This window comes from Homo sapiens, chromosome 13 (assembly GCF_000001405.40).
Source record: "Homo sapiens chromosome 13, GRCh38.p14 Primary Assembly".
NCBI classification, from domain to species: Eukaryota; Metazoa; Chordata; class Mammalia; order Primates; family Hominidae; genus Homo; species Homo sapiens.
The window spans coordinates 71014780-71038071 of NC_000013.11; the positions used below are offsets into that span (position 1 = coordinate 71014780).

General features: G+C 39.2%; 1 long non-coding RNA gene across 1 annotated transcript in view, besides 2 other annotated features; it reads left to right on the top strand.

Moving 5' to 3' along the window:
• Positions 1–361: 361 nt before the first annotated feature.
• The window catches only part of LINC00348 (long intergenic non-protein coding RNA 348), a 153277-nt gene continuing 130346 nt past the window's right edge, over positions 362–23292 (top strand). The window contains exon 1 of the long non-coding RNA NR_047699.1: positions 362–469. This is a non-coding gene — a long non-coding RNA (long intergenic non-protein coding RNA 348). The remainder of the gene's footprint in view (positions 470–23292) is intronic.
• Positions 7108–7347: an enhancer, noted in NCBI's record as "active region_7809". NCBI's record gives its function as "activates an Ori minimal core promoter by ATAC-STARR-seq in GM12878 lymphoblastoid cells {active_cell/tissue: GM12878}" and the evidence as "EXISTENCE:reporter gene assay evidence [ECO:0000049][PMID:35858748]".
• Positions 15973–16573: an enhancer, noted in NCBI's record as "NANOG hESC enhancer chr13:71604884-71605484 (GRCh37/hg19 assembly coordinates)". NCBI's record gives its function as "activates a minimal SCP1, AML or CMV promoter by ChIP-STARR-seq in naive and primed H9 embryonic stem cells {active_cell/tissue: H9 hESC(naive and primed)}" and the evidence as "EXISTENCE:reporter gene assay evidence [ECO:0000049][PMID:30033119]".

Genomic DNA, 23292 nt, shown 5'->3' on the forward strand with positions numbered 1-23292 from the left:
TATGAAGTCTTTTTATGAAACTACATAATAGTAGTGTTACAGGAGGTTCTTGGATCTCATACAAGAAAAAATTCAGGGGAAGTTCACAGTGCAAAGTGAAAGCAAGTTTATTAACAAAGTAAAGGAATAAAGGAATGGCTACGCCATAGAGCAGCCCTGAGGGCTGCTGGTTGCCGATTTTAAGGGGTGGGTTATTCATGAGTCCCCTTTTTATGCAATATAGGGTAACTTACTGACGTTGCCATGGCATTTGTAAACTGTCATGGGGCGGGGGGTGGGGTGGGAAGAGTGTAGCAGTGAGGACGACGAGAGGTCACTCTCGTCGCCATTTTGTTTTTGGTGGTTTTTGTCTGGCTTCTTTACCGCAACCTGTTTTATCAGCAAAGTCTTTATAACCTGTATTTTGTGCTGACCTCCTATCTCATCCTGTGACTTAGAATGCCTTAACAACTGTCTGGAATGCAGCCCGGTAGGTTTCAGCCTCATTTTACCCAGTTCCTGTTCGAGATGCAGTTGCTCTGGTTTACACGCCTCTGACAGAAATGTTGATGAAAAGAGTCAAACTCTGTAAAATACTTAAAGAGATTTATTCTAAGCAAAATAGGAGTGACCATGGCTGGTGACACAGCCCTCAGGAGGTCCTGAGAACATGTGCCCAAGGTAGTTGGGGTACAGCTTGGTTTTATATATTTTAGGGAGGCATCAGACATCAGTCAAATACATTTAAGAAATACATTGGTTTGGTTCAGAAGGTCAGGACAACTAAAAGCAGGACTTCCAGGCTATAGGTAAATTTAAAGATTTTCTGGTTGACAATTTGCTGAGTTTATCTGAAGACCTGGGATCAATGGAAAGGAATGTTCAGGTTAAGGTAAAGGATTGTGGAGACCAAGTTTTATTGTGCGGAGGAATCTCTCAGATAGCAGACTTCAGAGAGAGAGCAGGTTGTAAAATACTTCTTATCAGTCCTAAAAGGGTGCCTGGCTCTTAGCTGATTATCTCCTGGATCTGGGAAGGAAGGAAAACAAAGGGGAAAGAGGATTCCCTATAGAATGTGAGTTTTTCCCAAAAGAGACTCTGCAGGGCAATTTCAAGGTACGGCAAGGAAATATATTTTGGTGTAAAACATTTTGATTTTCTACCTTGTTATGCCAGAATCAAATTGGAGAGTTAGTCACCATATATAGGGTCAAATAAAACCCATCTGATGAAAATTTATGGTTTGTAGGGCATGATTCCCTTACACCCCTTACATAGGAATTAGGGTGAGATAAAAAATCAGAGCTTAGTCCTCAGTAGCAATAGCTTATATTATTGAGGGCTTAGTAAGTCCAATGTACTGTTTTAAGAAATTGTATGCATTAATGGATTTGTATTGAAAGTAACCCAAAGATATGAAAAAATCAGTGGAAAAGTGATGCCCAAGGTTATGCATTAAATAGCAGAACCAGGAATAAATATAGTCAGTCTAGCTCTCACTCCTAACTACTGTGCTGCACTTTCTTGTGTCTCTATTAATTCAGTGTGATTTTGATGTAGAAATTGACAAATTGATTGGTAGAATGTAATAGGGACCCCAGAACCACACCTCCTTATTCATGGTAGGAAGAAATGGTTAACAGCTGGACTGAGATGCATTGTTAAACTAATGAGGGAGATGGTTCCATAAAAGAAAGAAGGAAGATGATCTGATCCAATTTTCTCAGAAACATTCTAATGCAACATTATTAATATTAGCACATGGAAAAGGAAATGCTACTTTCTGTTCTATGTTGCCTTATGAACAGCCAATTTGGAATCCGTGACTTTGGAGGCCATAGATCCCTAGGAACTACAACCATTAATATATTAACTGAAGGTGTTTCATACCTAATACAGCTGTCATGTTTGTCAGTGATGTGACTGCAACTCTTCTGAGAGATCTCATATAATGATCAGGGCCAGAGTACCTCCTGTGTATCAGTAGCTTATGTTACCTGGGCTTCCCAATTGTTGATGCCCTTAACATTATTTGTAAAGCTTGATGCAGGGTCAACTATATTTCTGTGTGAGTCTGTGAATCTATGTCTGTGTGAGTCTGATTTGAATCTTTGATCTGTTTGTCCACATGGAAACTTGGTAAATAAAAGACTTAGTATTACAGATCAGTGAGAAAATAATGAGCTAGTCAATAATAGTTATCTACGTGAACTAAATAAATTTGGAATCTTGTTTCAACCCATGGGCAAAAATAAATTCATATGAATTAGAAGACCTAAGTGTGATGTTAATCTTTAAAACTTTTGTGCAAAGAACAGGAGAATATCTTGATGCCCTCAGGATAAGCAGAAATTCTTAAACATGATATAAGTACAAACCATAAAAAATATGATAAATCTGACTGTTTTGAAATTAAAAACCTGTTAGTAATAAAATCAGACAAAAATTGAGTAAAAAAAATTCAGGGACAAATATTTAAAATGCATAAAAATTACTTTATCAATTTATGAAGAATTTATGAAGATATTGGTAATCTAAATAATATAAACATTCTAATGGAAAAAGTGAGTAAAGCACATGAATTAGCAATGAAAAGGAGATGAATTAGCAATGAAAAGGAGATGATATTCAAAATAGACAACTACATAAACAAACAAGCATTGCAAAGTGATAAGCCTTACAGCAATTAGGAAAATACAAATTGAAACCACAAAAAGTAGTATTTTAAATTAATCAGATTGGTAAAATTTTAAGTCTGACAATACTATGTTGATAAATATGTAAATAGATAGAAAATTGTATGCATTGTTGGTTTGTAGGTGTAAGCTGGTTTTAAAAACAACCTTGGGGAGTAATGTAGAAATAGCTAGTTATAAGGTTTGGCTCTTTGTCCTCACTCAAATCTCATCTCAAATTGTCATCTCCACATGTTGAGGGAGAGACCTGGTGGGAGGTGATTGGATTGTGAAGGTGGTTCTCCCATACTGTTCTCCTGATAGTGAGGGAGTTCTCATGAGATCCGATGGTTTAAAAGTAGCAGTTTCTCCTGCTCACTCTCTCTCTCCTGCCACCTGGTGAAGAAGGTGCATGCTTCTCTGCCTTTTACCATAATTGTAAGTTTCCTGAGGCCTCCCCAGCCATGCAGAGCTGTGAGTCAACTAAACCTCTTTCCTTTGCAAAAATTACCCAGTTTGTGGTAGTATCTTTATAGCAGTGTGAGAATGGACTAATACAGCTAGTAAAGTTTAAAATGTATGTACTCTAGGACTCAGTAATTACTAGTTATAAATACTAGAGAAACCCAGTATACAAGGAGACTTATATATAAGATTGTACCCTGGATCACGGCATTAAATATCAAATTGTGGTAACATCCTAAATGTCTATATACAAGAAAATTGATTGATAAACTGTAGTGTGCTTATACAATGAAATGTAATATGGCATATAAAAATAAATGGCTATATACTGACTTTGTTTTTTTTGAGAAGGAGTCTCACTCTGTCACCCAGTCTGGAGTGCAATGGTGTGATCTCCGCTTACTGCAACATCCACCTCCCAGGTTCAAGCTATTCTGCCTCAGCCTCCTGAGTAGCTGGGATTACAGATGCATGCCACCAAGCCCAGATAATTTTTGTATTTTTAGTAGAGATGGGGTTTCACCATGTTGGTCAGGCTGGTCTCAAACTCCTGACCTCATGAACTGCCCGACTCGGCCTCCCAAAGTGCTGGAATTACAGGCGTGACTGCGGCCGGCTGACTATATATTGATTTAATCTCATATTTTTTATAAATTAAAGTTTCAGAATGATATACATTATATGTTACTATTATAGAAAGATAATATATTTTGGGGCATATAAGTGTTTTGTGAAAGTATACAATCTCCATGGAATTTATAAGTGATAATTTTGTAATCAAGGTTATGTCTGAACAGTAGAAGGTTAATAGAATTGAGTGGAGTTTCACAGAAAACTCTCACTTCCCTGATATTTTCTGTTTAATTTGCATATGTGGTATTTGGGGGATTTACTTTCTTTTCTTCTATACTTCCTATATGGCTTAAATGTTTAATAATCAGAATAAAAATACAAGAAAAAGACAGTATTAAACATTTAGTTGACACTGAAGCTGCAAAATGATGGGGAGAGAGGCTCTGTTGAAGTACTCTGAAATTTTTGTTTGAATGACCAAGAGGTTGTGGGAGTAGTGACCTGGGCACACAAACATTTGTGCCTTCGGGAAAGAATAAAAAATGAATGAGATAAATAATCTTCCCAATATAATAAGGACATAACCACAGAGCTTATCTTTCTCTCTAAGATCTGTATTATTTTTAAAGCTTTTTTTGGAGAATTTGAAAACTCAATCTTGTCTTTTAGAGGAAACTCATCACTTAGAATTTGAAACTTGGCAGCTTCCTTGCCAGAAAACACTAGTGGCAGCTCTGTGACTCATTTAGGGTGCATAAGTTCCATAGATTATGTAAAACTGATCTGGAATGACATCCTTCTATGCAGTCAGTACTAAAGATGAGTGCAAAATCCAAATTATGAAACACTTGAGAAAATAAACACCTATTACTGAGAGTCAACACACAACATAGTCATGAAAAAAATCCTGATTAGGTGTTTCAAAAATTATTTCATAGTAATAATGGTAACAGTATCTCAGAAAATTATCCAGACATCAGAGAAACCAAGAAAATTAAAATGTATAGAAAAGATGGTTAAAAAAAATAAAGCAAGAGAATACTACATTTAGCTTTGATCCCTGATGTATTCCAAAGATCTAGAACAATGCCTGGCACAAAGTTGGATTTTAATAAATAGCAAAGAAATGAACAGAGGAATGAATGATTCAGCTCATAAGTATTTATTTCAAAAGAGATGTCTGTGCTGGAAATAGAAATGTGGAATTCATTGGACCATAATGATATTTAAAATGCTATAACATTTATAGCCTGAGTAAAGAACCAAAAACATGCAAAGAAGACTGAAATAAGGAGTTGGAAAGAAAACCAAAACTATGCTATTATTATGGATTTCTCTTTCCAGGCAAGAATGACAAATTACATGTGTTGGCTCTTCTATATACTTAGAATATTGTTCTATTGGATTTGAATTGCAAATATCAATATGAACCTATTTGTTTCTTTTAAAATAGATGTGTATCTTTAATTGTGTCTGCTGCTAAAAGGTCTTAAAAGCAATGACTACCTAGTAGTAACAAACACAATCAACATCCAGATTATTGACCCTAAATATTAAGGAACCAGAACTCCTTGACAAGTGGTTGATTTCAGGACTGAGGGAGAAAATATATAAGACCTGTAAATATTTTTTCTCTAAAAAGCATGAAAAATTTCCAAATACCAGCTGATTATGCAAAAACAAACGAACAACAACAAAAAAACCCCACAGAATTCAATTTAAAGGGGCTCCTTTTAGCCAAAGAGGGACAATTTGAGCATCAAAAGCAGTGATGAATACAATTGGTTGAAACGCATTCACTAATAAAACCCAGAAGTTTATAATTATTCTTAAAAGTAGATAGAAAAAGCAAAAAAAACAAATACAATTCATTGACATCATTGAACGTAACTTGGGAACTAACACCTGTGTTAAGACATGGCAAATAAAGGAAAAGAATTAAATATTCGAGTGATTTTTCTGAATTGTGTTTCAGAGTAACCTAATAGCTCTAATTGATGAAGAAAAGATCCCTTCTTTAGAAAAGGGGTGCTGAAACTAGAAGTCACAATTTTGCAACTTTGAATGAATGATTAATTCAGCCAATAAGCATCAACAGTTATAATCAACAAATGCAAGGTTTATACATAATTTTACAATAAAAATGCCACTGCTAATTTTATGTGTCAACTTGGCTAGGCCTTTTTCTGGGTGCACTCTAAGGGTGTTTTTGGATGTGATTAACATTTTACTGAATAAAGAAAATTGTCCTCCCTAATATGAGTGGACCTAATCAGTTGAAAGCCTGAATAGAATAAAAAGGCTGACCCTCCTTTGAAAAATAGGAATGCCTCTTTCCTGAGTGCCCTCCAGCTAGAACATGCTTTTTTTCTTCCTTTGCACTTGAACTGAATCATTGAGTCCTCCTGGGTTGTGAGCCTGCCAGCATTTATCCCATCAGCTCTCCTGGTTCTCGGGTCTTCAGACTCAGACTGCAGGCATACCATTTGCCTCTTTTGGGACCTCAGCTTGCTGACTATAGATCTTGGGCCTTGTCAACCTTCATAATCATGTGAACCAATTCCTTACTTTTTTCTTTCTCCTTTTCTTTCAAGATATATATTTTTTCTCTCTTCATATATAATGTGTGTGTGTGTGTGTGTGTGTGTGTAGTTCTCTAAGAAACTCTAATACAAAGGGTATCAGTTTCTTGCTACAAGAACCCTCCGATTAATCATACTTGGAAGTAGTATAATCGGATATTGTGTGCTTTCTGCAACAAACCAACATGAATCACATAATAATACTTCAGAGTGTTCTTTCTTTAAAAAAAATGAAAAAGTCAAATATGAATCAACACCAAACCTCTAGAATAAGGCTTTTCATTTTATGAAATATGGAAGACAAGAGAGGGTAAATAAACCACAAAATAGCATACTTACAAATCCAGAATGTGGGACATTCCACAGGATAACTAACCCATTTTCTACTCCAAGATAATAACCTGAAAAAGGAAAGATGAGAGATACTTCTCTAGAGTAAAAAGAAAATGTCCAGTAGAGACCAGAGAGGAGCGGGAAGGCCACTCTGAGTGAAGTAGATTCAGCAAAGATAAGAGTTGCATGTAACAGGACACCCAGAGAATGCCTTCAAATTTATACCAGCTTGGTTCCCTCCAGCTTTAAAATCACAAACTCAATGTCACCTAATACATTGTCTATGGAAAACAGTTTTTAAAACACTTCAGTAAGGTTGGACAATAAATTGAAGAAAGAGCTTGAAAGGCTCACAGTGCTAGGTCAAGATGTTTAGATTTAAAGAATGTTACACATATGAGCCATTTTATTTAATTTTTTCACTTGAGAACATCAATTTGTAACTGGGGCAATATTGCCCCTGAGAAGGAGAAAGTGGTTATTGCAGGAGAAAAAAAAAATTCCAGATATTGACGTGGCTTAGTTGTCTGGTGTAAATACGTGGGGTTCGTCATCTTGTGCTAAGAAAATTTACGACGTGGACACACATGAGGAGTTTAGGAGCCGAGGTTTAAAAGGCAAGTGAAAGAGAAAGCGGAACAGCTCTCTCTCTAGTGAGAGAGAGGGGCTTCCAAAAGGAAAGACCAGCTGGTGCTGGATGCACCCGATTTTATAGGCAGGCTTGTGGAGGCGGTGTCTGATTTATGTAGGGCCCAGAGATTGGTTCCATCAGGTGTGAAATTTACCTAGGGTACAGGGAAGGCTGGCCACCCCACCCTAATCTCATTATGCAAATAAGCTTTCCACTTAACTGGTGCCACCTTGTCTGCTCACTGCTGTACCAGTGGCTGGCAAAGAGAGAAGGGAAGATGAAGCTGCCATTTTGAACATGATTGTCACAACTGCCAGCATCTATACATGAAGCTCAATTTTACAGGCTTCTCTTTGTCAGAAAATGATTTTGGTCCTGCTTTTCGTTAAAAAGAAAACCTTTACTGAGGACTCCAGTACCCTCCCTATCTGCCTAAGTAATTGCTTCTTAACACCTATATCAATATTATAATGGTTTGTGGCCCTCCAAATGGCTTTAGTGCATACATGGTTATACAGCATTACTGGTGCATTAAAATTCATAAAGGTGGGCCGGGCGTGGTGGCTCATGTAATCCCAGCACTTTGGGAGGCCGAGGCAGGCGGATCACGAGGTCAGGAGATCCACACCATCCTGGCTAACACGGTGAAACCCCATCTCTACTAAAAAGACAAAAAATTAGCCGGGCGTGGTGGCGGGCAACTGTAGTCCCAGGTACTCGGGAGGCTGAGGCAGGAGAATGGTGTGAACCCAGGAGGCAGAGCTTGCAGTGAACTGAGATCATGCCACTGCACTCCAGCCTGGGCAACAGAGCAAGACTCTGTCTCAAAAAAAAAAAAAAAAAAAATTCATAAAGGTGAGGATGATTAAAAAAAAGAATTAAGTCTCCTTAGGATACAATAATCAAAACAAGTTTTAAAAACCTAATCTAGAAAAAGTATAAACTTAAATTGACAATTCACATATCTATAAAACATTTTATAAAATTTTAAACTATTAATAAAAGCAGAAGTCTTTATAAAAATTTAGGTCTCTGTCTAAAAACAATTTTCTTTGGACACATATTATCACACACTATGAATCAGAAAATTAAGACATACTGTAAGTTATAAATAACAATATTTACCTGAGAACAATAAAAATCCATCCCCTACTTTATCTCCTCTAATCTATTTATCCTTGTGCCCCTAAACTTCATGCCTTAAGCAAATGACTATCAACTCTCGATTTGAAATGTGAAATGAGACAGCCTTCAGTTCTAACTTATATGTTCCTGCTATCGACTAAATGTTTGTTTCCACACCAAATTTATATGTTGAAAACCTAATCTCCAATGTCATGGCATTTGGAGTTGAGGCCTTTGAGAAGTAAGTAAAGTTGATTTCAATCATGAGAGTGGGATTATCGTGATGAAATTAATGCCCTTAAAATACAGACAGATACACGAAAGCTCTCTTTCTTCACTATGTGAGGATACAGAAAGAAGTCTGCTGTCTAAACCTAGGAAGAGGGCCCTGCCCAGATACTGAATATGCCAGCACCTTGATCGCGGACTCTCCAGCTTCCAGAACTGTGAGAAAAAAAAACCTTTGTTGGTTAAGCCACCTGGTCTATGATATTTTGTTATGGAAGCCTAAACAAATATATGACATTTCCTAATCCAGCGAAAACTGTCATCATTACATTTATTCAGCTGTGCATACCTTGAAGTCAGAAATTGAGTTTAGAGTTCAAATTTGTAGAAAAGTATGACTTTTTTTGGTAAAGCATGAAAGGGTGTTATAGGCTATGTGGTTTTCTTCAGAGCTGCTGAGAGAGAGCAAAAATAAAACTGTGATGAAGACATTCTATAGGCTTTTTTGGTATGCTGTCAAAGAGAAGTGCAAAGGAGAAAGAGATACTAAGTTGGTTAACTGAAAGAATGATAAGTAAATTTAAGCATTTATTCCGGAGTATTCAACATCTATTCACAGTAGCCAAACCTTGACAAAGGACTTTTTTAGCAGAAAGTTTACATATTTAATTAATTGTTTAATGTAAATAATGCTTTCAGAAAAGACTACTGGGGCATGAAAACATTGACTAAGCAAGTCTTAATGTTTATATTTGAGTAGACAGAAAAAGAGAGTGTAAAATTTCCTGCCGATGACAGGACAATAGGAGAACACAAAAAGTTATAAGAACACAGAGTCAAAAAACACTCTTTCTACCTGGAAATAATAGGAAGATAAATGAGGTGATGGTTAAAATCCAAGCTCAGCCTCAAAATATGAATGGTATAGTTACTGAAAAATAATAAATAATGAGAATGGAAGGCTACAAAGAAGAAACTACAACAATAATGGCACATTTGAAGAAGGTTCTTTTTACCAAGCAATAGGCTTGCTGCCTGACATGCATAAAAGGCCAATACTATGGTACCAGCTGTTTTTTTTTCTTTTTGCAGCTTGCATTATGTTTTATCATTCTAAGTAGATAAAAACTCCAACTGATCACATACAATAATAGAATTAAGGTAACTCAATTTCTATTTGTTCTTCTTTGCTATAATTATCTATTTCTAATCTAGTGGGGTTTTTTATCGATTTGGGGGTAGAAATGTAATTTTGTTACATTGATATAATGTGTAATGGTGAAGTCTGGAATTTTAGTGTAACCATCATTTGAATAGTGTACACTATACACATTAGGTGATTAATATCTCACCCCTCATTCTCCTCCCACCCTTTCACCTTTCTGAATCTTCAGTGTTTATTATTACATTCTGTATGCCCATGTGTACATGGACTTGTGAGAACATGCAGTATTGGACTTTCTGCTTCTGAATTATTTCACTTAAGACAATGACCTCCAGTTTCATCCCTGTTGCTGCCATATATACATCTATATATAGAGAGAGAGATATATACACACATATATATACACACACACATATATACACACACATATATACACATATATAGAGAGATATATGTATATATCTCTCTATATATAGACAGTATATGCATATATACACACATATATATATATAGAGAGAGAGAGCATTTTCTTTATCTAAATATCTGTTGATGGACACTTAGGTTGATTACATGACTTTCCTATTGTGAGTGGTGCTGTGATAAACATACAAGTGCAGGTATCTTTTTGATATGACTATTTCTTTTCCTTTGGGTAGATATGAGTATTAATATTCCTAGATTGAAGGGTAGTTCTATTTCTAGTTCTCTAAGAAATCTTGATACTATTTATCAATAGAGGTTGTACTAATTTATGTTCTCAACAACAAAGTATAAGGGTTCCCTTTATTCCACATCCTCACCCTGTTGGTTTTAGACTTTTTAATAATACCCATTCTGACTGGTATAAGATGCGATCTCATTGTGGTTTCATGTTTTTTTGCCGTTTTTAAGTCTTCTTTTGAAAAATGCCTGTTCATATATTTGTCCACTTTGTATTTGGGCTGTTTTTTGATTGTTGAATTGTTTGAGTTCCTTATAGATTATGAATATTAGGCCTTTGTTAGATATGTAGTTTGCAAATATTTTCTCCAGATATGCAGGTTGTCTTTTCACACTGTTGGCTATTTCCTGTTTTTTTTTTTCTTTCTTTTTTTTTTGAGATGGAGTCTCGCTCTGTCGCTCAGGCTGGAGTGCAGTGGCGCAATCTCAGTTCACTGCAAGCTCCGCCTCCTGGGTTCATGCCATTCTGCTGCCTCAGCTTCCTGAGTAGCTGGGACTACAGGAACCCGCCACCATGCTTGGCTAATTTTTTGTCTTTTTAGTAGAGACGGGGTTTCACCGTGTTAGCCAGGATGGTCTCGATCCCCTGACCTTGTGATCTGCCCACCTCAGCCTCCCAAAGTGCTGGGATAACAGGCATGAGCCACCGCACCCAGCCACTGTTGGCTATTTCTTTAGCTGTGGCACCAGCTTTTGAGAAAAGAAGTTTTCTTGCAAGATTGACCAGCAAGAAGATAGGAAATAACATTCAAATCTGTCTCCTTAAGCTGAGGTTTGGTGGCAGGTTTCCAAGGCAGAGAGCAGGTAATATTCAAATCTGTCTCCTCAAGCTGAGGTTTGGTGGCAGGATTCCAAGGCAGAGAATAACTTTGAGGGAGACAGGAAAATGCAACGATGTGTGATCTGACTGGGTCATGCAAAGAAGCAATGCCAGGTTCTTGGCTTTTAAGTTCATATTGCAAAAAACAGAGCACCCCTTGATTCTTAATTTAGTCTCAGATCCTCCATCAGAGTATGCCGAGTCTGTCCCACAGACTCTGGCTTAGCGACAGAAGAAAGAAGTACACAGACACAGGTATTTTGCCTGAGAGCGTGGCTAGGGGACTGCACGACTTAGCATCGCGACGAGAGTGCAGCCCCGACAAGCTGGAACCATTTGTATTTATTTAGTACAGATTAAATGACAAAGGCCTAGAGTAAACAGAGTTTGTGGGTAATTAACACTGTCGACCCCCCGAGTAGAGAGCAGTCCTGCAGGTGAATGATCAAAGGTTAGTTTCCATAGACAAATTAAACAAATACATCTAGATAAATTCCTTTACAGTCCCTTGCTATCTACCCTTTGCCCTTAGTCTCAGGGTAAGATAATTTAGCTGCCTTCAGCTTTTATTCTCTCCCAAAGCTTTGCAAAACCTCCTGGCCTTCCATGAAGGTTTGCATCTTTCCCTTTAACTTTTCTTATAACTTTTCCCACCACCCTAAGTGATCTCCTACATCTCCCCCTTTCCTGTTTTTTGCATCAGGTTTTGTTGATTGAAGAGTACAGATGTGTGCAGCAACAGGTTTGTCTGCTGTAGTGGTTACTGCTACTATTCCAGCTTTGCAGCCTGGAATTAGTAAATAACATGAGACAAACATGAGTATAAACAATAATATTCTTTTCCAATCAAGGAGTGACAAGTAGTGTTACTTGACACCTTAATCCAATGTGTGCCATTAATGAGGGACCCTACTGGGCATAAGTCAATCCCTCCTAGCCAAGCAGTTGCATTGTTAGAGGCTGAGGAGGGGGTGTGAGAGGTCTGCCCAAGTAACAGGGTGGAAGAAAGGCGGATCTAGAAGATGGGCCTAATAGACAGTAGCAGGTGTGGGTTGTAGGCAGAGTGAGAGAATAAGAAAGGTTAATACCCTATGAGAGTTGCAATGTACAACAGAGAGCATAGCAAGAAACAAATTATCTGAAGTGAATGGTGTCTGTGTCTGGAAAAGGGTTCACTCAGTCTTTTGAGCAGTCTTCTTTAGCGTAGTATCTGGGGCCTGTGTCTTCCAAGGAAGCCACATTATCCAGGGCTATGGGTCCCGCAGGGTCATTTCCTTTATTTCTGTTACCAGGTTGGGTCCTAGCCATGCCATGGTATGGTTTGATGCATAGTGCTGGAATCCAAAGAGGATGTGAGGGGGTGTGAACAAAAGCATATCCTCTTCCCCATGTTAGCAAATCATTTGGACCACACCATAGATTACTATTTACATATTTCCATAAAACTGAAGGTTGTATATCTTGAATATTTTTGAAAAGTGCTTCTCTATAGCTGATTGAAATTTTTCATCTAGATTTAAAAATTAAGGGTAAATATTGCTTGTACCAATAGTGTTGCAGGGTCCCTACTCATATTCCCCCTTTTTTGTTTTTTGAGCATATTTTTAAGGGTGGAGTGGACATGTTCTACTATGGCCTGTCCTTGGGGGGGTTATAAGGGATGCCTGTGGAATGTTGGATGTTCCACGTGTCGCAAAATTGTTAAAATTGTGAGCTAATATAAGCTGGACCATTATCAGTTTTAATTTTTATGGGCCGCCCCATAAACGCAAAAGTTAAGAGAAGACTTTTAATGACATATTGGGAAGACTCTCCAGGAAGAACATGAGTGCTAATTAAGTGGGAATTGGTATCAATGGATCCACATACATATCTTAGTTTTCCAAATTCAAGGACATGTGTAACATCTCTTTGCTATAACTTATTAGGTTCTAGTCCTCTAAGGTTAACACCTGTTGAAGGAGGGGACGTGCCTGTGAGCTGGCAATCTCAGCACTGTAAAATAATTTGTTTAGGTAGTTTTTGGCTGAGTAGAAAATGTTTAGATAAGTTTCTGCAATTTTGGAGAAATTGATGTGATTGGGTGGCTTGGTCAGGGAGGGACGTCATAACCTGCAGCTCTGCTTGATCATTGCCATAAATCAGTGGGCCAGGTAGTGAGCTGTGAGCTCAAATATGTGTGATAAAAATAGGATGTGTACATTGATCCAACAATTGCTGAAGTTGAAGAAAAAGTGCACACAGTGTGTGATCGAGAGTGGACTTAATGAGAACTGTCTCAAGGTTCTGCAATAAATAAACAGAGTAAGCAGTCACTAACAATATTGATGGGCTGAGTGGAAAAGATTTCCAGGGCCAATATTAAGGATCCAACCTCAGCAATCTGAGTGCTAGTAAATCCAGATTGAGTGAGGGAGTTATGCAGTTACCACCAGATAGTTGCCTTTCCATTTTTACCAGAGTGATCAGTGAAAAGCATTAAAGTGTTAGGTATCGGGGAGTGAACTACTTTTGTAGGCAAAACTACAAGAGTATGAAATAAGAACTGAAGTAGTTTGTCAGTAGAAAGGGCATGTTCTATATGGCCTGCATAATAAGAGAGTGCTATCTGCAGGTCTACAGATAAGAGCAAGATGGCTTCAAATTGCTTTTTACTCAAGGGAATTCTTATGACATCAGGGCCATAACCTAGCAATATATTGCATTGTCTGTGGCCTGTATAGATGACTCTACTAACTAGCTGGATATAGGGAGATAGTGTTTTAGTCCCGGTATGTGAGCAAAAAACCCATTCTAGAAAGTGCAGCCCTGGGGCCATCTGTCCTATTAATCCTGTTGGGTAATGTTTAGTATGAAATACAAAAAATTGGACTGACTATTGTGCATCTATGTAATCTAGTTATGTCGGAGAAATAGCTTGCTCTATTTCCTAAATTTCCCTTTCTGCTGCAGGAGTTAAATACCTGGGAGAGTCTAGGGCTGTATTGCCCTTTACAATAGAAAACAGGTTTTGTAACTTATCAGTAGTTATGCCCAAGGTGGGGCAAAGCCAATTAATATTGCCCAGTAATTTTTGATAATCATTTAAGGTGTGTAAGTTGCTAGTATTTAATCTTTTGAGGTCCTACTGACTGGGAAGTTGGTATGTATCCAAGATATTTCCAAGGAGAGTACATTTTTACTTTTTCAGGTGCTATGATTAAACCTCTTAACAGTGTATTCCTTTGGACAGAGGCATATAAATTTAAAAGTACTGGCTCCGTTAGAGCTGCTAGTAAAATATCACCATAAAATGAATAATTTTGCAATTATGAAATTCTTTTCTACTGGGGAGCAAAGCCTGAATGTGATACTGACACATGGTAGGACTGTTCAGCATTCCTTGAGGAAGTACTTTCTGATGAAATTGGTGAGCTGGACTTTCATTATTGATAGCTGTATTGTAAACACAAATTTTTCTCTGTCCTACTCTGCAAGGGGAATAGTATAAAAGCAGCCCTTTAAATCAATAATGACTATAGGCCAACCTCAAAGAATCACTGCAGGGGAAGGGAGCCCCTGTTGAATGGGCCCCATAGCTTGCAAATTAGCATTGATAGTGTGAGAGTCATGCAAAAGTTTCCATTTACCAGACTTTTTGGGAATGACAAAAATGGGCGAATTCCAAGGGCTGTTTGATGGCTCTATATGGCCAGCTTTTAATTGCTCAACTAATTCATGGGCTTGTTGTAACTTCTCTCCCTTTAAAGGCCAATGTTTTACTCAAATAGAATTTTGAGAGAGCCACATCAGGGGTAGGGGAGGAACAATAGGGGCCATTATTTAAAAGCGTTTGTTATTCATATAATTCATCAAATTCTGCCCTCCAGAGGAGGTATTGACTGGCCTTTAAAGTTGTTTTTGCTAGCACTGACCAGTCCCATGGGGTCATATGGAAGTTGTCTGCCATGGCCTTAATTAATCTTTTCATAAATGGGCTAGCGTCTCCATTTTCTCTAATGCTTTTCCTTATCTTTTTATAAGTGTTGAAAGTAATGGGTTCATATTACTGATTCATACCTGTAATTCATATTACAGTGTTCATACCTGATTGCCTTGTTGATCTTGCATCACCAGGCAGGCTAAGAGCTCCCCTTCTAATGCTGCTTGCCTAAGACAGGGTCCCATAGCTGTAGTGTATCCCTTGTCTTTCTTCCAATTTATTGGAGGAGGAGGCTCAGGGGAAATCTCCATTTTCTCTTTTGTGTCTTTACCCAGTAATGGCAGTGCTGAGGGAGAAGGAGGAGGTGGTAAGGTAGGTGATGGTTCCTCCTCCCTTCCCTTCTTAGGCTCTTCTGTGTAGAGCAGGACCAAAGCAGCCCTAACTAAGTCCCAGAACATTAGAGATGTTACTGGTACCTGTTGCTCTTGTGCATGATGTTGTTTAAGATTTATTCACACTTGTTCCCAGAGCTCCAGGTCTAACATCCCTTCTTCCATGAACCATGGAGTATGGGAAACAACAGTTGCATTAGGTCCCTTAATTGAGCCTGCAAAACCATGATTCCACTAGCTTTAAGCAGCTGTTTCAATACTTCAATATACTGTTTCTGTTGATCTGATAACTGTTGTCCGCTAGCCTGAAAATTCCCTCAAACTTGGAAATCCCGAGCGGGCACCAATGACTTACTGACTATGCATTCTCTTCACCTTCATTTTCGAGGGTGCTGTCACAATCCGTTGCAGCATTCCTCACACGGGGAACCAGCTGCCAAGTCTGTCCCACAGACTCTGGCTGAGCGACAGCTGAAAGAAGTGTGCAGACACAGGTATTTTGTCTGAGAGCATGGCTAGGGGACTGCACAGCTTAGCACCACAGATGAGAGTGCAGCCTCGATAAGCTGGAGCCATTTTTATTTATTTAGTACAGATTAAATGACAAAGGCCTGGAGTAAACACAATTTGTGGGTAATTAACATTGTCGACCCCCCGAGTAGAGAGCAGTCCTGCATGGGAATGATCAAAGGTTGGTTTCCATAGATGAAAGTAAACAAGTTTATCTAGATAAGTTCCTTTACCTTCCTTTGTTATCTACCCTTTGCCCTTAGTCTCAGGGTAAGATCATTTAGCTGCCTTCAGCTTTTATTCTCTCCTGAAGCTTCGCAAAACCTCCTGGCCTTCCATGAAGGTTTGTGTCTTTCCCTATAACTTTTCTTATAACTTTTCCCACCACCCTGACTGATCTCCTACACAAGTACTTAGTTTTCACATGTGATTGATTATCTTTGTTCCAGCTGGCTCCAGGGTCATGAATCAAGTATACTTGGTTCATCTTGGCCTGCCCAGATTGTGTGACTTGCAACCTGGTGGTCCTTTGTAACTGAAAAGCAATTCATCATTTTGTTACTCATAGAGTTGAATCAGAGCAAACTGGTTCAGTTATAGTTTGGCAGTAGCAGAGATTGTAAACTGGAAAAGGAGGCTGAAGCACTAGGGTGATAGTTATTTTAGATGCCTCAATTATTATATTGAATAATCTGAAATTTACTCTCTTGACAATGGGAAATTGCTTTCTTATTTGTGTGGCAGAGACATGACTGTCTTTCCTTGCCCATTCCCCCTCTTCTTTGTTTAGCAACTGGATCCCAAAATTTGGCTACCCAGGATAAAAACTACATTTCCTGGCTTACATTGCAGTTGGGTGCCATTATATGACCATGTTACTCCTGATGAGAAAAAGGCAGAAGTTTGTGCAAATTTCAGGAAGTGTTCTCAAAGAAAGTATCCATGCCCTTTTTTGCCCTTCCCTCATTCTTGTAGGGTGTAATATGGGCCAGAAACCTGGGTCTGGACTATTCATCTTGAACAAGCAGACAAAAGCCAAATTGTAGGGATGACAAAACAGTGACCTGGAAGTGGTCTAAATCCCAGATAAATTTATGGAATAGAAATCTGAACTGCTTTAGCCACTATTGTATTGGGTTTTGTGTCATTTGAAGTTGAAACTAATCCATAGGTTGTCTTTTTGTTTGTTTGTTAAACCAAGGAATAACATAGTCTGGATTTGCGTGTGTGTAGACCAGACTGGATAAAATGAAAAGCTTTTGAAAAAGCATACATTATAATTGTCAATATACAATAAAAGATATAATAAGGCTCTAAAAACAGACTGATGACAATAAGAAATATGCTTGAAGGATGGGATGAATAGGTATATGATTTTGATTCTAGGTGATTGGAAAAATACTGAAGTCTCTAAGTTTGGGGAAAAGATAAGTTTGTTTGTCTGTGTGTGTATAACCTGATTAGGGTGGCTATACAATGACTACAGTTTTATTTATTTTAATTAATCTTCTTTCTTGAAGGTAAAAGAAAACAGCTGGATAATAGAAACTAGGAAAACAGAAACTAGGAAAACTTAGATTCCAGCCAAGATGGCTGACTAGAAGTCCCTAGTGTGTACCACTCTGACTGGAGAGCAGGAAGAATAGCGAGTAAACACTAGCTCTTCAATTACTACATCCAGGTAGACACATTGAGATTCATCAAGGAAGCAACATGACCTATAGATAATGGAGAAGAGGGAGAGAGGGCAACTTCCCACTGAGGAGTGGTGTGGAGCCAGAGGAGGCCCCTCACCATGGGGAAACAGTCAATGAATGTCCCTGGGACCCATACTTCTGCCACAAACTTTTGCAACCCTGGGCTCAGGAGATCACTCGTAACTTCCCACCAATCTGGGCCTCCAGACTGACACAGAGAGCTATATAGAGTCTGGGCAGAGCCACCACTGAGGAACACACAAAGTCTCAAGAACCTTGGATCCCCATCCCCAGGCAATGGGGCACCAGTGGCTGCAACTCCCTGACAACAGGGGAGGTCAGGCTCCCTCTCACACCCTTAGGATAGGGACCAAATCCACAGGGATGAGCAACAGATTGATTGCAGGCCTGCCTTCAGTGCACCTAGCTATATAAGACCCACTGGCCTGAGAACTGAGCATGGCCCCCCCAGCATCACCTGAACTCTCAGACTTGAGAGCAGCTCTGCCCTTCCCTGGAATGGAGCTCCCAGAGGTAGCAGACAGGCTACCATTTTTGTTCCTCCACAGCCCTTGCCCCTGTTGCCCTCAGGCTTGTGAGAAAGCACAGTGATTAGGTAATAGTGTGGATCCCAGTACAGTGCAGCTGCCTTATGGGAAAGTGGCCAGGCTGTTTTCCAGGCAGGTCCCCATCCCTGCTACTTCTCACTGGGCAGGACCTACTGACCTGGGGCCCCAATCACCCCCCACTTGGGCTCTCTGGCTAGTAGCAGCTCTGCATTTTCCTGGAATAGAGCTCCCAGAAGTAGCAAGCAGGCCTGCCAACTTTACAGCTACACAGCCCCCACTCCTACTGCCCTCAGGCTTGGGAGGGAGTACAGTCATCAGGACTAATGTGGGCCCCCAGCACAGTACAGCTTCTATACAGAAAAGCACCCATGTGAGTCCCCTTTGGGGAAAGAACATGGGACCTGGTTGCTACACTGTCACCTGTAGCACACTGCAGCCACTATGTGGAGAGGAAACCCAGTCTTCCTTCCCTGTGAGCAGCTACGTCCTACTCTTCACCAGGCAGGGCCCCTGGTTAAGAATCACAGAGCAGCCACCCTACCCCCAGCTGAGCATTCCCCTTGTAGTGGCTCTGTGTTTTCCTATAGTGGAGCTCCTAGAGGCAACTGACAGCTCTTCTGCTGCCACCACTGCAGCGGTTCTGCCTTTGCTGCCCTTAGACTGGAGAAGATACAAAAAGTCTGAGGGATTTACTCTTGCTTCCAGCACACTACAGTATCATGCAGAGAGGAGCTCAGTCCCTCCTCCCTGTGAACCCTTTCCCTCCTGTTCTTCACCAAGCAGGTCCCCTGGCACAGTCCAGCAATGCAACCACCCCATCCCTTGGCTGAACATTGCCATTAGCTGTGTCCATTAACTGTTTCTCTGAGGGAGAGTTTCCAGAAGCAACCAAAAGCCCCTCTGCCATTGCCACTGCAGTGATACTTCCCTTGCCACTCTGGTACAGGGGAAGGAACAAAGGCCTTGAGGGCTTTACCCACACCTCCAGCAAGCCATAGACATCCTAATAAGAAGAGGCCAGTCCGTCTCCCCCACCAGCTCCCCTGCTCACCACCAGGCAGAGGCCCCTGGCTTGGGCCCACAACGCCAGTGCCCCACTTTGGGCCAATTGCAAATATTGGTAGTGGCTCTGCTTTTCTCCAAGGTGAAGCCCCAAGAGACAAGGGACAGGCCCTCTGCCACAGAACTTCCAAGGTCCCTTCTACGGCTTCTAAGCTGGGGAGGGAACATAAAGCCTGAGCTAACCCCACGGGTGTGGTGGGCAGCCCAGGAGTGTCAAGCCGAGATCTGCAGCCAGGACTGGAGTAGGAGAGGAGCTCACACCTTTGCAGCACTCACAGGGAGCGTGCTGCAATTCTAACAAAATGCAGAAGAACCATTTAGCTGAGCAAGAGCCTACCTACAGGCCATTATGGTTAAGCACCATCTACTGGATTATAGCTCAAACTTCAAAACTAAAAATACTTTGTGGCCGGGCGTGGTGTCTCACGCCTGTAATCCCAGCACTTTGGGAGTCTGAGGAGGGCAGATCACGAGGTCAGAAGATCGAGACCATCCTGGCTAACATGGTGAAACCCTGTCTCTACTGAAAAATACGAAAAATTAGCCAGCGTGGTGGCGGGTGCCTGTAGTCCCAGCTACTTGGGAGGCTGAGGCAGGAGAATGGCAGGAACCTGGGAGGCAGAGCTTGCAGTGAGCCGAGATCGTGCCACTGCACTCCAGCCTGGGTGACAGAGCAAGACTCTGTCTCAAAACAAGTATACCAATCTGAGGAAAGAGTCTTAGAGCTCAAAGACTGGTTTTCTGAACTAATTCAGTCAGATAAAAATAAAGAAAAAAGGATTTATGAAAAGAAAAACCCTCCAAGAAATATGGGATTACATAAAGAGACCAAATCTATGACTCACTGTCATCTCTTGAAGGCAGGGGAAGAAAACAAGCAACTTGGAAAACATATTTGCAGATATCATCTATGAAAATTTCTCCAGCCTCGCTAGGGTGACCAACATTCAAATTCAGGAGATGTAAAGAGCCCCTGCAAGATATTATATAAGATGACCATTCCCAAGATACATAATCATCAGATTCTCCAAAGTCAACGTGAAAGAAAAAATATTAAAGGCAGCTAGAGGGAAGAGGTAGTTCATTTACAAAGGGAAACCCATCAGGATAACTGCAGACCTTTCAGCATAAACACTACAGGCCAGTAGAGATTGGGAGCCTATATTCAGCATTCTAAAAGAAAAGAAACTTCACCCATGAATTTCATATCCATTCAAACTAAGTATTATAAGTGAATGACAAACAAGATCCTTTTCAGACAAACAAATTCCAAGGGAATTTATTTCCACCAGACCTGCCTTATAAGAGGTATTTAAGGGAGCAATAAATATGGAAGTGAAAGACCAATACCGGTCCCCACAAAAACACACTTAAGTCATATAGGCCATGATGCTATAAAGCAACCACACAATGAAGTCTGTATAGTCACCACCTAAAAACACGATGACAGGAGCAAATCTGCATATAACAATATTAATGTAAACAGGCAGAATTCCCCAATTAAAAGGCACAGAGTGACAAGTTGGATAAAGAACTACGAGCCAACTGTACGCTGTATTCAAGACACTCAGCTCATGTACAATGACATCCATAGGTTCAAAGTAAAGGGATGGAGAAAAATCTACCAAGCAAACAGAAAATATGCAAAAAGCAGGCATTACTATCCTACTTTTGGACAAAACAGACTTTAAATAAACAATGATTAAAAGAGACAAGGAAAGGTATTACCTAATGATAAAGGATTCAATTCCACAAGAAGATCTAATTGTCATCCTAAATATGTATACCCAACACAAGAACACCCAGGTTCATAAAGCAGGTTCTTAGAAACCTATGAAGAGGCTTTGAAAACCACACACACACACACACACACACACACACACACACACACATAAATATAGTGAGAGACAACACCCCACTGACAATATTAGACAGATCATAAAGGTAGAAAACTAGCAAAGATATTTGGTACCTGAACTCAACTAGACTAAACAGACCTAACTGATATCTACAGAACTTTCCACCCAACACAACATAATATACATTCTTCTAATTTGCACAAGGCAGATATTCTAAAATCGATCACATATTTGGACATAAAACAATCTTCAGCAAATTCAAAACAACTGAAATCATACCAAACATACTCTTGGACCACGGCAAAATAAAAATAGAAATCCATACTAAGAAAATCACTCAAAACTATAAAATTACATGGAAATTAAACAACATTCTCCTGAATGACTTTTGGGTAAACAATGAAATTAAGGCAAAAATCAAAAAATTATTTTGAACTAATGAGAACAAAGACACAACTTACCAGAATCTCAGGAACACTAAAGCAGAGTTAAGAGAGGAGTTTATAGCACTAAACACTCATATTGAAAAGTTACAAAAATCTCAAATTAACAGCCTATCAACACATCTAGAGGAACTAGAGAAACAAGAGCTAACTAACCCCAAAGGTAGCAGAAGACAAGAATAACAAAAAGCAGAGCTAAGCTAAAGAAAACTGAGACACAAAAAGCCATACAAAAGATAAATGAATTCAGGAGTTAATTATTTGAAAGAATAAATAAGATAGATAGCTCACCAGCTTAAATAGTAAAGAAAAAAAAGAGAGAAGATTCAAATATATATAATCAAAAATGACAAAGGGACATTACCAACAACCCCACAGAAATACAAAAAACCCAGAGAGACAACACCTTTCAAAACTAGAAAACCTACAAGAAATTGATAAATTCCTGGAAACATACAACCCCTAAGATTGAACCTGGAAGAAACTGAATCCTTGAGTAGACCAATAATGAGTTCTGAAACTGAATTCATAATAAAAAGCCTACCAACCAGAAAAAGCCCATGAACAGATACGGACTCACAGTCAAATTCTACCAGATGTATAGGAAAGAGCTGACACCATTTCTAATGAAACTATTGCAAAAAATTGAGGAGCAGAGACCGCTCCCCAACTTATTTGTGAAGCCAGCATCATCTTGATACCAAAACATAGCAGAGACACAACGAATAAAGAAAACTTCAGACCAAAAACCTTGATGAATATACATGCAAAAGTACTCCACAAAATACTAACAAACTGAGTCCAGCAGCAATTCAAAAAGCTGATCTACCACAATCAAGTAGGCTTTATCTCTTACAGGCAAGATTGGTTCAACATATACAAATTAATAAATGTGATCCATTTCATAAACAGAACTGAAACAAAAGCCACATGATTGTTTCAATACATGCATAAAATGATTTTGATAAAATTCAATATCCTTTCATATTAAAACCTTTAACAAACTAGACTTTGAAGAAACATACCTCAAAATAATGAGAGCAATCTGTGACAAACCCACAAGTAACATCATACTGCATAGGAAAAAGCTGGAAGCATTCCCTTTGAGAACTGAAAGAAGTCAAGGATGCCTTCTTTCTTTTAAGTTCTTTGAGAATTGCTACACTGCTTTCCACAATGGCTGAGCTAATTTACATTCCTACCAGTAGTGTATAAGCATTCCCGTTTTTCCACAGCCTCACCAGCATCTGTTATTTTTGGACTTCTTAATGTAGTCATTCTGCTTGGGGTGAGGTGGCATCTCATTGTAGTTTTAATTTGCATTTTTCTAATGGTTAGTGATAGCAATCCTATTATTGGATATATATTCAAAGGAATATAAATCATTCTACTATAAAGACACATGCAGGCATACATTCATTCTAGCAACATTCACAATAGTAAAAACATGGAATCAACCTAAATGTCCAGCAATGGTAGAGTGAAAAAAGAAAAGATGGTACATATATACTATAGAATACTATGTAGCCATAAAAAAGAATG